At 41.1% G+C, this 17831-nt stretch overlaps 1 protein-coding gene across 4 annotated transcripts in view, besides 1 other annotated feature; it reads left to right on the top strand.

Annotated features, from left to right (window-relative positions):
* ADAMTS12 (ADAM metallopeptidase with thrombospondin type 1 motif 12) overlaps positions 1 to 17831 on the top strand; it is a 368456-nt gene that overhangs the window by 199533 nt on the left and 151092 nt on the right. For all 4 annotated transcript variants that reach the window (NM_001324512.2, NM_030955.4, XM_017009905.2 and 1 more), the window contains 2 exons: positions 8403 to 8599; positions 9357 to 9440. In NM_001324512.2, coding sequence (NP_001311441.1) covers positions 8403 to 8599; positions 9357 to 9440 — 281 coding nt within the window. The remainder of the gene's footprint in view (positions 1 to 8402; positions 8600 to 9356; positions 9441 to 17831) is intronic.
* Positions 15861 to 16010: an enhancer, noted in NCBI's record as "active region_22456". NCBI's record gives its function as "activates an Ori minimal core promoter by ATAC-STARR-seq in GM12878 lymphoblastoid cells {active_cell/tissue: GM12878}" and the evidence as "EXISTENCE:reporter gene assay evidence [ECO:0000049][PMID:35858748]".

Here is a 17831-nt window from a genome sequence, read left to right as displayed (position 1 = left end):
TCAAGTTGAAAAATACTTTTATTTTTCTCACATATAAATGGAATTTGGAAATAAAACATCCCAGGTTTTATCTCCACAATCAGGAACCCAGGCTCCTTCTATTGTCTATCTTCTATATTATTCCATCTTCTTCAACATCTGGCATCCACTTTGTTGAAACCATCCATATTCAGGCCAGGAAGGAGGAAAAGGAAGAGAAGGGGCTCTGCCTTCCCTTTAAGTTCTGAAAATTACATGTAGCCCTTCCCCTTGTGTCTTATTGGTCAGAATTTAGCTGCAAGGGAGGCTGGGAAATTTAGTCTATATTCTAGGAAGCCATGCACCCAGAACAAAATCAAGGAGGAAGAGGGGAAGAACAAATATTGAGGACAATTAGCAGTCTAACACAGTCATCATAAAGGAAGGCACAAATTGCCTCAGGCATGTTCAGTATTTGACCTGGTAAGTTTTAAGGACTTGATGCAAACAACAGAGAAGGGCCTGGGCCAGTGGGGTAGGGACACTGAGAGGGGGCTTACCTTAGGATAGCCCAGATCTATTTAGACACCACTAATTCATTTTTTCTTCTTAGGTCAATAGTTAGCCTTAGGTTGGTGTGAACATTAAGAAAAGCCTCTTAAGCAGTTTGCACTGTATTTATTGAGCACACACTATGCTTGCAGGTCTTAGTGAGTAATCTCTAAAAGTGCTGCCAGGATGTGGAAGGAGGTAGACACGGAGTTCCAGCATGGTCTTGTCTTTGGAAGGTCCTGCTGAAGCTTAGGACCAGCCCTAACTAAATGCCAGCATGACTTCTTGCTGGTCCATCACCCATCTTTCCACAGATAGAAGGTAACTCCGTTTTCCAAGAGACCTCTCTTCCATGTCTCGCCTGCTTCCCTAGTGGCTCTATTTAACTAACAGTATTTCTGTTCCGGCAAGATGGAAACTGTCCTTAAGACCAGGGAGAACCCTAAAAAGAAAGCATTCCATTCCCACTGTATGGTTCCTGGATAAGACTTTGCTCCCCTTCATTTCCATATAGATCATCATAGAATGACAGGCTTATAATATGAAAAGACTTTAGTATTCATTGAATCTCACTTCCTTCCTAAGCTAGTATTCCCTAAAAGTTGTATTTTTTCAAGTGATGTTCCTCAGAACACTAGGTATTAATGGGAGCTCTGAAAACAAACTGGGACTCATTGTCTAGAAAGCTTTGTAAACATGTACTAAATTTCCCAGTAGGAGAGTCACAATATAGGTAGTCTTTCTTTTATAGGCTGGTAGAAACTTTATACCCTACATGAAATGTAACTGTGCAGGAGTAAACTCTTTTTGAACACTTGCAGCAATGGCCAGCTCACCACTGAGGACAAAGAAACTGTAAGAAATGTTTTGTGGAGGCTTGGATGAAGCGTGAAAGTCCCTGAGTTATTCCCCAATCCTGAGTCACTAAGCCAAGGGAAGTGTGTCAGCAGAGTTCAATCGATGTCTAAGCATACTGGGACTCATTATCCACTCGGTTGATTACTTCATTTTTTGTTATTTTACTTCTGCCCCCAGCAGCCTCCTCCGCATCTGGTCTTCATTGTGAGAAATGCATCAGCACATTTCTATCAGAGAGTGCGGAACGGAAAAAAGTGTGTGGGGTCAGACCGCAAATCAGTGGAATTACTTTGCGTTCCAAGTGTTAAATAGATAATTAACAAAATAATAATGTGTTTAATATAAATCCATTATTATATTTAATATAAACATATAAATAACAATGGATTTAATATAAATTCATTATAAATTCTCGACTCATTCAGATTATTGACTCTCTGGAAGGATCTTCAAACATCCTTTTTACTTACATTTGATGTAATTATGTTGGTATTTTGGGAAGAGTCATGTGTCCCAAATGATCTACCATTTCCATCTTCCTTTTTGACATATTCTGAATGAAGTGAGTGCAGTGTCAGGCAGGACCATCCAGCCTTTGAGAATACATCTCTTTCTTTCTTTTTTTTTTTCAGGTGCTTATACTTTTTGTCCATACTCTTAAGCTAGGATGTACTTGTTTTGGGGATCTAGCAGTTTCTAACAACTTAGACTCAGGTTGCTTCATTTCTTTCTTTAAAGGCAGCTGTTTGTACTTCAACAATGGCCAGTTTTGAGAAATGGATAGTCTGTTACTTAAATGTAAAAAAATATTTTTTGTTCTCAGTTAGTGTGGTAAACTTTTTGTGGAGTAAAAATGAGCTTCCTACAGAGACCCTTCAAATATACCCAAGCTGGCCTGGAGAGATGGGCCCCTCGGGCTGCTCAGCCCTTGTTGCTAATGGATGCACACACCTGCACTGGTGTTTGACTCTGCTGGGGAAGGCCACAATGACCTGCCAAGAAGAGGATCTGGGTGCAAGTGTGTGGTAGTGGCAGATAGCTCACAATTATGCCTTGGCAGTGGGAACGTGTGTTCGCCCAACTCAGAGAACACTAGAACTGGAAGAACCCCAGATATGGTGTCAGCTGGTGGTTTAAAGATGCACCATGTGGAATCCCCTTTGGGGCCACCCACCACACCCCATGACCCCAGCAACTTTGGGGTTCATTCTTTTCTTTACTTTTTGCATAATCTTTGTATCAAGGAAAGGTTCCATGACCCTTAAAAAAATAGGAATTCAATTCAGTTTCTTCATTAGACAGGGGAAGAGATAGTAATATTTGTCCAAGGTCACAGGTGGTTTGGGTCAGGCCAGTAGGCATGGGGAGCAAGCAGCTATCAATAGTGGGCCTGGATAGGACCTATTAGTCTTAAGATGCTTTCCTTCTTTTTTCCTGGTACCATCTCTCCAGCCCTCAACACTGGGTCCAGAATATCTTCCCTGAGTAGCACTTGTCTGAGTTATATAAAGAAGCAGGATATTGTCTCCAGAAATCTAGTATCAAAAGGTCACCTACCTCCTACTGCACTCGTAGACAAATGTCCTTCATGCATTGCTGAAGACTGGTGGGGACCTGGAGGACTAGGACTCAGCTGGTTTGGGGTCGAACTTCTTCTATGTATGATTTTTTTTTTTTGAGTTGATCCTTTCCATTCCTCATGCTGAAATTTTATTAGGCAGATGATCCCAGAAACCCCATCCCCATCTCCATGCCACTAAGTTAAATAAGATTCACACTAAACCAGCTAAAATGCTGGTCCTGCTGCTTACTGGCTATGAGACTTTGAATAAACTCTATAATCTCTCTGTGTCTCAGCTTTCTCATTTTAAAATGACAATAAGATTTACTACATGTTTTAATGTGAGAATTAAGATAAATGATCAAATCCAAGAGTGTTTAGCACCAGTTGGGCTCTTGATAGGCACTGGATCCCAGATGGCTGTTAGTGTCTATGTTGCTGTGTTGCTGCCCAGGTGTCATGTTTCAGAAACCTTGCAGAAGTGGTGACAGAAAGGTGGGACAGTTAGGGTACTGGGTCTCATTTGTCTGGAAGCTGCAGTGTAGGCTGGAGAAGATCAACTTGAGAAGGTCATCTTGGGGGAAGCTGGACCTCAAACAAGGCAGTAGTAATTAGTGGCCAATGTCCAGTTAGTGGTCAACCTGCGTGGGCTGGGCAGAAATCCTTCTCTGTTGGAAATCTGATATAAGGGTGTAGAAGAGAATCCAGATGAGGGAAGGGTTGGGCTGGAGGCAGAGCCTTGAGCAATTTTCTAAGTAGAATAAGCAGCCTCATTGCTCACACTGGAAACTACTGGCATGTTAAAAAGCACTCCAGAATGTACTGGAAACTGTAATTTCCAGAGTCTTCTGCCATCTATGTTCAGTTTCTTTGCTCCCTAGCACTACTCCAGGTTCTCTGTGTGGCTTCGTCAAGGCGTGATCCATGCCTGGCTGCCGTGGACACTGACTCAGAGATCAGCAGGTGAGGGCTCTGCCATCTGCAAAATCCCTAAATAGAGCTTTGTGAAGAGCTGCCTGCAGTATGTGGGGAAGGAAAAAGTACTCGGTAAATTGCATTTTCCAGGGATCTTCTAGGACTTCTGTTCTGTTAGTGGTCAGGTATCCTGAGCACCTCAGACAACGCTGGACAGACATCTGCACTCTGTTAGCTTCCATTTAGGAAAATCATTTCACTGTCCTCTCTCAGCACTGGAAATTTTCCTTGCTTAAGCTGCCCGTTTGGCTGGATTTCTCTGCTTGAAACAAACATGTCATGGTCTCAGTGGGGAGAATTCCTTAAATGAAAAAAGTCATCGAATGGAAAAAATGGACAAACCTGGCAATTCTTCTTTGCTTGTGGTTCATACATTGGTTCTGATTCATCTTCAGTTCTTTGCTTGTGCATTTGGTATTTACTGGGTGCCACTTTTGCCTGTTATGGTGTTAGGATTGGGGCAAAGGCCAAAGAAGATGTTTTTCTAGCCCTTTAGTTGCTTAAAGCCTAATTAGAGAGTCCTGTTATTTAAAACAGGAAATTATAGCAATATAAAAAGTACTCAGGTTGAGGTGTGGCCAGAAGCTATGCCAGCTGAGAAGAGGGGTCTCTAAACAGAGTGATGTGTATGATGGGAAATAGTGAGGGGAGCTTCCCAGAATCATCAGCCCCTCACCTGACCCAAAGAACTAGCTGTCTTTGTCATCAGCTTTAGAGATAAATGTGTAGGGCTGGTTTCTTGTACTTTCTGAAATTGCGTAGCAGAAACATTTCTTCCATCAAATCTGAGATTTCACTAGAACTCCGCAGAGTCAGCCCACATATATACAGTCCTCTCCCCCAGCTCAGTCCTGTTAAGGCCCAGTTCAGATCTTACCACTTCCGCAAAGCTTCCGGCACTATCTATAATATAACTGATATTTCTCTTTGGGAATTACTTGAACCCCAGTGATGACAATTTTTCTTATGTTCATGTCTCATTACCCACAAGTAGATTGGTTTTTGCATAAAGTCAAGGATCACGTCACATACTCCTTTGTCTCTATTCAGGAGAGTAACTTGGGCCTTGCCCAGAAAACCTATTGTATAAATGTTTGTTTTTGCTGTAGTGGAATCACACAGATGGCTGAATCTGTCATTTACTATGTGACTTTAGGAAAATTACCTAATCTTTTTGAGCCTCGGGTCCTTCATCTATAAGATGGTGATCATAAGAGGGCTTATCTCATAGATTTTTGGCAAGTTAAATGAGGTATGGTGCTATGTGCTTAGTATAGGACCTGAACTTTCATAAGTGCTTAATGTAGGTTTTGTTGAAAAATTTCAAATAGATATATGCCTTTAGCAGACCTCATCTCTCATTTCCACATTTCCTCCTATATGACTGTTTACTACTGAGTAACTACCTATTTGCTGGAAAAATGAAAGTAACTTGGACTTTAAAGATGTCTTTAAAAAAAAAAAACTCATGTCTTAGTTAGCTCAGGCTGCTATAACAAAATGCTATAGACTGGGTGTCCTAAACAGCAGAAATTTATTTCTCCCAATTCTAGAGACTTGAAGTCCAAGATCAAGTCCAAGATCTCTCTCTCTCTTGCTCTCTCTCTCTCTCTCTCTATATATATATATATTCAGTGCCTATATATAGAGAATATGTGTATATATATTCAGTGCCTACATATATATATAGAGAGAGAGGAGACAGATGAGGACACAGCAGGAAGATATATACATCTCTCTCCCTCTCTCTCTCTATATATATAGGCACTGAATATATATATATATATAGAGAGAGAGGTGTATATATCTTCCTGCTGTGTCTTCATGTCTCCTCTCTCTGAGAGAAAGAGAGGGCTCTGATGTCTCTTCCTTTCCTTATAAGGACACTAATCCCATGATGGGGGCTCCACTGTCACAAGCTCATCTCGATCTAACTGCCAACTAAAGGCCCCACCTTCAAATACCATTACCTTGGGGATTAGGGCTTCATCATCTGCGTCTGGGCAGGATGCAAACATTCAGTGCCTAGCAACTCTCTTTTTCAACACTGAGGGATAAAAGGTAGAAAAAGGGGAGAGTAAAGAAGAAGTAAAGAAACACAGGACCAAGGGAAGCAGAGAAACTACTTCTTTTTTCTACACGCTTCTCACCCATGACAGCTTCCTGCTAGCACCTAACGGTAGATATCTGAGGGTGGGGACTGAGGCTGCAGCCAGGAGCACAGGGTTCTGCTTTAATGAGGGGCTGTGCACAGCACAGTCTTTGCCTGCTGAGGTGAGCTGAAGCCTCTGTGAGGGGACCGGCACCCAGGGGAGGGAGGCTGAGCCTGCGGGGGCCAAGGGAGAAGAAGGGCTAAGGCCCCAAGGGCTTTGTGAGGGCACTGGGTGAGAAAACTGTCTGCCAGTCACCCTCACACACAAGGTCAGGGCGGCATGGAGCAGCCTCCTGATTAGAACAGACCTGTCCCCACCCAGCAAAATAGGAGGGGCCTTAGAGAAAGATGAGACCGAATCCATGTTGACAGGATTCCTGTACTCAGCCCAACCTGTAACAGCCGTTTCAGAAAACACCAGCCCACGTGGGCTTAAAGTGGGCTGGCTGCTTGGCTTACACAGAGACATTTGAAAGCAGATAGCGGTTTGAAACATTCATGTGAGATTCAAAACAGGGACAAAAAGCTGATGGGGCAATGAGGGAGGGGGTTTCAGAAAGTTAGAAACCATTGATAAAATCTTGACATTTCTTAGGGAATTCATGCTTCCCCATGCAAAGTGAGTGGAGAAGGAAACTAGAAAATGGTTCCAGCACAAATGAGGGGTTAACCATCTCCCCATTTTTAAATCTTCACAGGACTTCCCTCCAAAGTTTACATAATCCTAGATTATTTCTCAGAAGTGTTATATTGAAGTACAGCATTATTATTTTGAAGTAAAACTCACAACGCTAGAGTTTGAATTTATTTAGACCTATGATGATGTTTCATTTCTTTTGTCAATATCGCCAAACATGTCTAAATTCATATGGACAGAGAAACTGAGGAACCAGGAAGGGTTACACACAAATCAGTGTAAGCAACTCCACAGCCTAGAGAGTACCAAGGGAGAGGGCAGGATATGGTGTTAGTTGTCCCAACTCAGGGTCTGAGGCAGGGCCTCAGGAGGAGGTATAGTCCTAGATGCTTCAGAGAACAGGACCAGAGCTAACGAGGAGGAATGACAGAGAGGCAGGTTTCAGCTCAATGCAGTCGAGAATTTCCCAATAGAACAAGATGCCCTGTGAGTTGTTGAGTGTCCCTTCCTCCTGCTGGAAGTTTTCAAGTTCAGACTGGATGGCCATTACCAGAGATTAGGAAGGGGACATGAGGTTTGCCACTCTGCTTCGATGTTCTGCCCCTGCCAGGGGCCCAGGGTGCAGATGAGGGAGAGGCAGGAAGTGTTTGTGGCTGTGATCCTGATAGGAATCTTCAAAGACCCAGGCGCTGCCCTGTATCAGCCCAGGCTTCTTTCTTTACTCTCTTCTGGTCAACCTGTCTTCCTCGGCTCCCTAAGCCATTCTGAGCCCACTGGAACTTTTTACACTTGACTTCCACTTGGGTTAAGTACCTGCTTCCTGATGTGCGAAGTAGCCTTTTATTCGTTTTGGTGTTAAACAGACCTCTTTCAAGTTAGAATATGCTCCCTACTTACAGTATTCTGGGATTTTGAGAATGATTCCGTGCAGCTACTGTCTGACTTTCTTTATCATTCTATAGCCTCTCCTAGATTTCGTCTTCCAAACCATGACCCTCATGTATCAAATCCTTTTCATACTAAAACCTGTTAGTCACCTTGATAGTTTTGCTGTCCTTTGGATCTTTTCCACCTCTTTTTGTGCCTTCTTCAAGTGGAATGCCTGGAACCTTTGGCAGGTTTTCAGCTTATATATACTACAGTTTTATACATGTTTACTCTGTTGGAAACGGTGTGATGTATATTTTTAAAAATGCATGATTTTGGGGCATAGAAAGTACTGGATCTTTTACTGACTGATGGGCTGCACAACTCTGGGTAAGTTATTTAACCAGCCACTTTGAGCATCAATTTCCACATTTGCAAAATGGAGAGAAGAATATGTACCTCTGTCATTCATGAGGATAAACAATGTGGCATTTAAAAGCCAGGTATATTGCCTTGCACACAGTAGGCACTAAATAATTTAAAGGAGGAGAAGAAAGAGAAAGTTCCCATTGTTGGGTACGTCTTTTCAATAGTGGAAGACATAATTTAATGTAATAGGTAAGAAACATTTTTATAAAGTACTTTTTGAACCTCTCTGTAAGATTCAAATTTCTCTTGGTCATATTCATTTAAATTGGTCTATTTTGGTTATGTACGTAAAAACATTGCGTTTATATTATTAAATGTAAATTAAACTTATGGCCTTGCATCTTTACTAACATAAGTAGATAATATATGAGACATATACAGTGTTAGACCATTGTCTTCTGTTTACTGTTTAGACAGTGTTAACATCTCCCAGAAGCAAGAGCTATGGCGGGAGAAGTGGGAGAGGCACAACTTGCCAAGCAGAAGCCTCTCTCGGCGTTCCATCAGCAAGGAGAGATGGGTGGAGACACTGGTGGTGGCCGACACAAAGATGATTGAATACCATGGGAGTGAGAATGTGGAGTCCTACATCCTCACCATCATGAACATGGTATGCCAGACTACATGGGGGCTGGGGCAGCTAGTGAACAGATGTCATTAGAAATGCTTACATAAATAAATAAGAAAGGCCTTTTTGGGGTCCTTTTAACTTATTTTTATAAATATATATGTGAATCTAGTACCTGCCTAAGGATGAATATGGATGGAAATTCAGGATGAATTAGTCTTTCCCTTAAAGATGTGTATCCTGGGAACATTTTATAATTTATTAGTTACATACTTCTGGTAGGTATTTTCCAAGTGACTCAATCCTTTTCGTGTGGCTTTGTCTCATCAGTTTATGTTAGTAAACCGAAGGAGTAAACTGAGGCAAAGAACTAGAACATAATTTCCTCAAAGTAGTTAGAAATAGAATTGGAATAAAGTTAATGACTCTTAATTTCAAGCTTTCTCTTTGCATTGTTGATGTTTTCTGCCTTCAAGAAGATGTTAGTCCTATTGAGGTGGGAAAAGGTATTTGCCTGAGTAACTGATAATAGAAGAGGAGAATACTGTGGGCTGGGTTAAGAAAAGAAAAATGTTAATCCTTCAAACACACAGCCAAGCTATCACCCTGAAAGATTTTGTTTAAATATTGTAATGTGGAATGAGCTGTGGGCATATTTCACTCTTCTTAGCACACCGCCAAACATTTCTGACCTATAAGAAAACCTTTATTTTATGTGCATTACAATGCTATTTTCTTCTCTGGTATTTATTTATTATCTCTTCGTGTGGAGCTAATGGTTTTCTATTTCTGACCCTAGGTCACTGGGTTGTTCCATAACCCAAGCATTGGCAATGCAATTCACATTGTTGTGGTTCGGCTCATTCTACTCGAAGAAGAAGAGGTAACATTTTTTCCCTTCACTCTTCTGCTATATGTCCTCGCACTTCCTACCTTCTTTTTTTCAGGGGAGTTCTTGGTAGACAAGAAAGAGGGTACCAGAAAGTGTTTGGAAGCCCATCGAGAAGGAAAATATTATTTCTGTGTTATTCCCTTGGGAGTTCAGTGATACTGAGCGGGATGTGGATAACATTTCCAAAATATACATAGTTGAAATCTCTTGACAGTCATTGTATCTAATAACATACACATGAGACTCACCGCAGTCACTAAAGATGTTCTGCAAAAGAAATAGACTAAATCATGACATGGTTGGATGGTTTCAGTAAAAGGTAAGAAAGACATGGAAATGTCGAACCTTTGATACTACTAATTTACTTCTTGCATATTTAACACAAGCCTCTCAGATTTGGGACCTCTTGTCTATCTGCACGTTTACCTTTGGGGATTTCATCTATTCTCAGAGATGATGTAAAGTAAACATAAGACTTAATATGTAAGTCTTAATATATAAGACTTAAATGTAAGTCTTATATAAATGTAAGAGACTTATATGTTATCTATGTCCTGAGACCCTCAATTGATACGTCCAGCCTAGACCTCTTCCTTGGGCTTCAGGCTCATATCCAAGTACTTGAAATCTCCACCTGGAGGTGTCAAAGTCCATTCAATCTTGAAAACTTAATAAATCCAGAATGGAACCTTGATTACTCCCTTCCTAAATAATCTCAGTTCTGCCACCTCCATTCCCCAAATCACCACCTTACCCAACAGTACTATTACGCATTGGTTACATAAGCCCAGGAGATATTCTTGATTCCTTTTTTCATATCTTCCACATCCAATAGCAAGGAGCACTGTGGTCTTACTTCCAAAATACGTGTCATCTCTGCAGTCATCACATTGGTTTGGCCTTATCATATCTTGCATAGGCTACTGCAGTGAACTCCCAAATGGTTGTTTCCTATTTTCAGCCTTGCCATAAGAATTCATTCTCCATGGATGATCATTTTAAATGCAGCCATAATTGATCATTTTAAATACAAACTGAAGTGCTGCACTGCACAAAACCCTTTAATGTCTTTCTGGGTTTTTTTTAGAACAAATTCAAAATTTCTTGCTGTGACCTGTGGTGACTTTCATGATCTTTCCTCCATCTACCTTTCTGGTCTTTGGTTATGTTACTCTCTTCCTTGTTTCCTACTCTCATACTCACTGTCTATGCACTTGTGGTTCTCAGTGCCTGAAACATCTCTCTCCTGGTTCTGCACATGACTGGCGCCTTCTCATGCCTTATGCCCCGTGTAAATGCTGCCTCTTCAGAGAGGTCTCAGTGACCAGTTTATTCAAAGTAGACCCCTCTTATTGCTTTTCATCACAGAATGATGGCAGTCTCACAATTCATCATGATTCTGTGTATTTGTTTACTCTTTTTTTGCTTATCACAGCCTCTACCAGAATGTGATAATGGCTTCCATGAGGGCGGAAGCCATGTGTCTTTATTCTGTTAGATCCCCAACACCTAAAACAGTGCCTGGGACACAAATGAATGAATGAAGTGAAATGTAATGAATGGTAGGACCAGCCAACTGATGAAATGCCCTTGAAATCTATAGAGCTTAACCAGCAGCTAGGATATGTAAAGAACGGCATCATTCAGCTTCCCATCAGCAAGAGACCTGCAGTCAAAATGCCAAGGGAGGGCTTATTGTTTTCTTGACAGGAAAAATCTCCACGATCGTGTGTGTTAGATTATTTTTAAAACAATCTGTGGAGTGGGGATCCATTTTTTCTTCTTTCCCCTGTAACCCGGTCTCCCTTTGTCACCTAAAACCTACTTTGGGTGTCTTGGAATACCAATGGGTATGTCATTTCCCTTCATGTGGTCTTTTTATTAAGAAAATATATTCAAAACTTGGAAAACAGGCAACATGAAACCTATATATCCTTTTGACATTTAAAGATACCTATCTTACTCTATGAAAATGTAACTGCTTGTTTACCATTGATTGGGGCACAGATGTGGTAAAGTTAGATGTTGACATGTAGAAAATGATAGGGTACAAATGGTTTTTGCCTAGTAGAGGTGAAAATGATTTATGTCCAGCAGAGAAGATAATTCTGAAGATGGTTTTATTGGTTGGCGGAACCAGACCAATAAAAATTGGTACCTAATTTTGTATCTAACTTAGCAATCTCATTCAGCAGTTCTCCCACACTGGCTATAGCTGCATCAGTTTTTTGCATCTGCCTTTGAACTAGCTTTGCCATCTTGCCTATCCCCTCATTAAGGAGCCAAATTATCTTGCCTGTCTCCTCACTAATGAGTTAAATACATCTTGAACATGTGCTCATTGTATATTTGTATGAAAATTGTGTTTTTGACTTTTGAAAAGCATGCTTTGATACCTTGGAGAAAAAAATTTTACTTTTTCATACTGGTTGAGCACATAGGCATTCCTAGATAGAAATGTGAAGAAACATTTAGCATTTTCAGACCAAAAAAAAAGAAGAAGAAAGCTACTTCTGGGAATAAGAAGGAAAAATCCTGGGTTTGAACTGCTTTCATATAAAACAGAAGGAAAAATCTTGACCCTCTGTAGTCCCAGCAGCACCACTGGTAGGATTTCATAATGTGGCTTCCACGGATCAGGCCCCTTTAAACTCCATGTCTCTTCATTCCCGAGAAATAATGTCACCAGGGCATCTCCATGGCATGTTGATGCCAGTGAAGTTGTTTGAAGGAGCTTGATTGGCCTCTGCCCCCTGACTCCATCACAATCACATTGTTTCTCCTCTTCTCTACCAACCTGGTTTTGCAAATGTAAAGAGACACACATGACTTGCTTCAGGAAGCCATGGCTCTCTACCTCCCACTTGCCAAATATTATCCTCGTTCAAGCTTTTACGGAGTCTCTAATTGGCACAGAGTTCACAAGTTAACAGCAGAATTGCAGTCCACAATTCTCATTTTCCTAATTCCCAGGAAATGGCTCAAGCCATTCTTCACATCTGTGACTAATAAGCAGCTCAACAACAGACAGCAATGATTCCAGCCCTTAACTAATGTCAAGATGGCAGGCACAGGAAGCAGAGTGTGAGGTTCAGTGCTGTGACTCCTTTGAGCAAGTTGACCTGAGTTCAGCAACTCTAAGGAAGTTACATCATTGCTCCATGTCCATTTTTCTTAATTTGTAATGAGAAGAGAGTTGTGGAACATCAGGCATATGTCACACCTTGTGGTAGCACCAGGGATGAAAATGTGAACACAAGTCCCTTTTCCTGATTCTGAGGAACTTTGAGTCTACTGCACAAAAGCACAAAAATAGCACATTTCAAGTTGAGATTGGCATGAGTATAGAAGTACTGGGATAGGAAAGGGTACTTGGATGTCTAAGCTGGGATTTTAGAAAATAAAAAGGAATTAACTAGTGAGGAAGTGATACGGTTAGGCTAATTGAAACATGGAGGTGGTTTCCCCCATGCTGTTCTTGTGACAGTGAGAGAGTTCTCATGAGATCTGATGGTTTAATAAGGGGCTCTTCCCCCTCTGCTTGGCACTTCTCCTTCCTTCCACCTTGTGAAGAAGGTGCCTTGCTTCCCCTTCACCTTCCACCATGATTGTAAGTTTCCTGAGGCCTCCCAAGCCATGCTGAACTGTGAGCCAATTAAACCTCTTTCCCTTATAAATTACCCAGTCTTGGGCAGTTCTTTATAGCAATGTGAAAATGGACTAATACAGGAAGGAAATTCCAGGTGGAGGGACCTGCATGGGCAATGGCTTTATTCTTAAACCAACAATATGCATATGAGAGGCAGTGGACATATCACTGATGTTGGACCACACAATGGGAGGTTGAGAAGTCTTGCTGTGATACAAACGAAACAAAGTGATTGTGCTGGAGACAGGAGAGAAAGCAGCCAATCAAAACCTGCCTACTTCCACTCGCACTTCGGTTTGTCCCATGTTGCTCATGTCTGCACATGACATTATCATCCTTTCAGTTGCAGAGGCCAGAAATCTCGATGCACTGATGATACCTCCTTCTCTCCCTCCCATGTCAAGTCTGTTATCAGGTACTGACCATTTATCTGACCATCTCCATTTATATCACTTCAATTCAAGCTACAGTTATCTCTTTTCTGGACTATACTGGTATATACTTTCTGGTCTACTCAAAACCAGTTGGATTTCTTTTCATCTTGTTTCCTCAGTGTAGTCAAGATAATCTGAAAATGGTACTCTGATCATATCCACCCTCCTGCCACCCTTTCTCCAACCCCTACACCTGGCTTCGTTTAGTCCAGTGGTTTTCTGATTCCCTTTCTCATCTCTCGCTATTCCTGCCTTTGCTCTTGAGAGGTAGCAATAGTCTTATTCATCAGGCTTTTTCAAGGCCTGCCTCTGGTCTTGTTGTTGCCTGGACTGTCTTCTTGTCTTCACTTAGTTAACAGCCTAATCTCTCAGATCACAGCTCCAGTGTCACTTCCTTGGGGAAGCCTTTCCTGACCCCCTTTCCTAGTAAGATTCTGTTATTGACTCCCATAAAACTACATTTCTTCTCCACAGCATGTTTCACAGTTGTAATCTTAGATCTATTTAATCGATACCGTTTCCTCAATTAGTATGTAAGACTTAAGAGCAGAGGTTGAGTTTGGTGTTGCTCACTGGTATATAATAGACCCTCAATAAATATTTGTTCAAATACTAAATAGGAGAAAGTGTGCAAATGAGGCCAGCAGTCTGTCAGTGAACCAGGGCCAATGGCAGCCAAGTTGCTGTGGGCCTTGTGGCCACATAAGGACTTTGGATCTAATCCTGTGGGATACTCTAGATTATTCCAAACCAACAAATGGAGTTAGAGAGATCACTCAGGCTCTGTGGAAAGTGTGTGAGGTGGGGAATCCCGAGATTGGGTCTCTGAGGTAGATTCCTTTTATCAGTGACTTTCTATCACTCTTGTCGTTCTTATTCTAAATAAATCTCATGGGTAACACCATTTGGGGCTTTATTTTTCTGCGGTGGTTTCAACAGACCTTGAGGTTAGGCTATATACATAAAATGCATGTTTGTCAGTTACCACCATCTAAAGACCACTATGGGGTTTCATCACATTTTGAGAATAAATTGGAGTATTGGGTGTAAAACTCACTTTGGAACAATTTGGAGGCTTTCTCATAGGCGAGATAGTCATATTTCAAAGCAGTGGAAACTGAGGTAACTGACGTATACAAAACCATGTTCTGAAAAGACGTGTCAAACATATTAAGAAACCATGGGCCAAGAAAACAGACAGTGAGTTCAGATGGGAGCCAGCTTGCTCTCACTCCTGTCATGTCCCTGTCTATCCCTGAATTGAGCTCTGATTTTCATTTTATGGCCCAAATTCTATCCTTTTAATTTTCTCCTAGGACTTGGACACAAACTTGACCTCTAAGCCCTTTCTGTTTTAGACCAATTTGTTTGGTGGGCCCCCTGCTCCCCTCTTGGGTCGGGGGTTAGGGATGGGATTAGACTCTTTCCTCCAATTCTTGTGAGCAGCTTGACATCACAGAGAGTACCAGATTTATCATTAGTTCCACTGCTTGCTAGCCATATAATTTTGGTAGGTTGTTTAACTTGTCTGTGTCTCCATTTCCTCATTTTGTAAAATAGTGATAATTATATGTATTTCATAGCATTGTCATGAGAATCAAATGTCTTCATTCATGTAATACTTAGCATAGTATCTGGCTTGTAGAAACTGCTCAATAAATGTTACTTGTTAATATCAGTCTTATTATTTTTATCATCATCATCATTTAGCTCCCACAAAAACCCTGTAAGCTTATTAATACTATGCTTATTTCACAAGGACTTCAAAGTCCTTGGAGGAAAATAAAAGACCTAAAGGACAAAATCAGGGTCATATGATGTTGGAGACTTCTTTTAAGAACAAGATAGAGACAAAACTGGAATGAGAGTGAGTCGGATGAAGCCAAATGAATCCCATCCTAGGTGACTATGCCATCCAGTGGAGGAGCCTAATGGCATTGGTGGGGCTTGAAGGTACAGCAGTAGGGCTGACAGCAGCAGGAAGGAGACAACCACTTTCACAAAGAAATTCTTCTTGGTGTACTGAGAGTGGTTTAGTGTTGAGTCTACTCTTTTTTGGAAACTCTAGAATTAAAAGCCTGCTGATTTTAAAAATTCAGGCTGGTGGTTTACCCCTCCCCCCAGCTGATGTGTGGGTCTGTATTGTTCTTTCAGGGTAAATGTCAAAAATACTGGCAAAGAATTTTTAGACTTATTCTCTCTCTCTCTCTCTCTCTCTGTGTGTGTGTGTGTGTGTGTGTGTAAGATAGACAGAGTCTCACTCTGTCAAGCAGGCTGGAGTGCAGTGGCACATAGTTCACTGTATCTTTGAATTACTGGGGTCAAGCCATCCTCCCACCTCAGCCTTCCAAGTAGCTAGGAATACAGGCACTTGCAACGATGCCTAGCTATTTTTTTTTTAAAGATGGGGTCTCACTACGTTGCCCAAGCTGGTCTTGAACCTTAAAAAAAAAAGTATCCTTTCCTCTGGTAATCAGATGAGTTGTCCCTTAGACACATGAGAAGTTTCAGATTAAACCTTTTACAGCTTGTCTCTTCTCTGCTCATCCTCTTTCTTTCAGTAGCGTAAGCCTGACTACCAGAGCATGGTCAGATTGTGCACTGAGTCAAAAACTGCTATCAGAAATTCCAAGAGAAATCAATACAAGATTTTCTCATTATAGAGAGAGCTTACAAAGAGCGAGAACAATTTTTAACAAAAGCCACGTTCTTGCAAAATTATTTCCCATGTGGAGCTATTTTATGAGCTTTCTATGATTTCTTCTAGGTCAGCTTCCTGTCCTGTTAATTCACATACAAAATGTATAGAAAAGGGGAAGTGGAAAGTGAATTGGATTAGCTTGAGAAGCTGAAGTGAAAAAAAATAAACAAAAAGAGGAATCTATTTTTGTTTGCAGAGGAAATGAGGAAAAAATAGTGTGAATGGGGGTTTGTTTTGACATGCTCAAATAGTTTCCAGGATGCTTTACGGAAAATGTTTAGCACAAGTTCCCTCGCATTTATTGTGAGCCATCATAGTCTCTCTGAAGTCCTGTTGCATTTTTTGTGTGCTTAGGGCTGCCTCAATTTAATCCATAACTAATTACTATTCTCAAGGCTTCTGTGATCAAGAGCATACAATAAATTAAATGAGTGTTTCTTGGACTTAACCCCTTCTGAGACTTGGAGATTAAGAAGCTGAAAAGGTTGAAAAAAATGTGCTCAATTACAGCTTTCTGGAAGAGCTGTGACATTTAATAGAAAAGACACTGTCACTGAATTTGTGTTAAATGTCACATATTGCAGATGAAAGTTCTACACAGGGGCGAAGTATCAAGCTGTAGGTAATCATCAACTCAATTAATTGTACACTTGCTTTGTCTGCACGAGGAACTTTAAATAGGAATAGGAAGAAAGCAAGAAAGATTTTGAGAGTAGACTTAAAGCCCTAGCATTTTTTCTCTTCATCAATGACTATCTCTCAGGTTATTCCAGAATTACTCTTATAGCAAAACTGGAATGTCAGAAGAATCTCCTATGTTGAGATTTTATTTTACTATTCAGCTTCTTTCCCTCTCCTTTACTCCTTCCCCAACAGCCCTGCTGCTAGAAAATCTCAACAACCATGCAGACCTGCCCATATATTTAGATGGTCCAACCTTAACGTGGTTCTCACTACTGCTTGATCACTTTTTCTCTGTTATCCTCCTTATTCCTGTCAAGAACTAGGCAGGGTCTGTTTTAGTCCATCATCTGCTGCTCCATTCTCTATAACAGAATATCACAGACTAGGTCACTTATAAAGAACAGAAGTTTATTTGGCCCATAGTTCTGGCGACTGGGAAGTCCAAGATCATGGCACCAGCATCTGGTGAGTGTCATTCCATGGTGGAAGGCATCACATGGCAAGCAAGCATCCAAGACAGAGAGAGAAAATAGGGCTGAACTCATCCTTTTCATCCCTGCAGTAACAAACTCACTCCCATGATAACAACATTAATCCATTTACAAGGGCTCTTAATCACCTCTTAAAGGTCCTACCTCCCAATATCTTTACATTGGCAAACAAATTTCAACATGAGTTTTTGAGGGGAGATTCAAGCCATAGCAATCTGAGATTTTACCCTACTTGCAAGCTAACAAGTTAGTCTGCCATGCTTTTATGAATGAAATGCTGGCAGAAGACATGAAAATCCTGAGTCACAGACAAAGGACTTTATTGCTCACAGCATAATGGGACACGAGCATCTGTACCTGTCCCTCTTGTCCCATAATTTGCACTGGGGTGTTGCAGGCAGCCCAAGTGTATGCTATGCATAC

The sequence above is a fragment of the Homo sapiens genome, chromosome 5 (assembly GCF_000001405.40).
Source record: "Homo sapiens chromosome 5, GRCh38.p14 Primary Assembly".
Lineage (NCBI taxonomy): Eukaryota > Metazoa > Chordata > Mammalia > Primates > Hominidae > Homo > Homo sapiens.
This window is presented reverse-complemented; position numbering and strand designations above follow the sequence as displayed.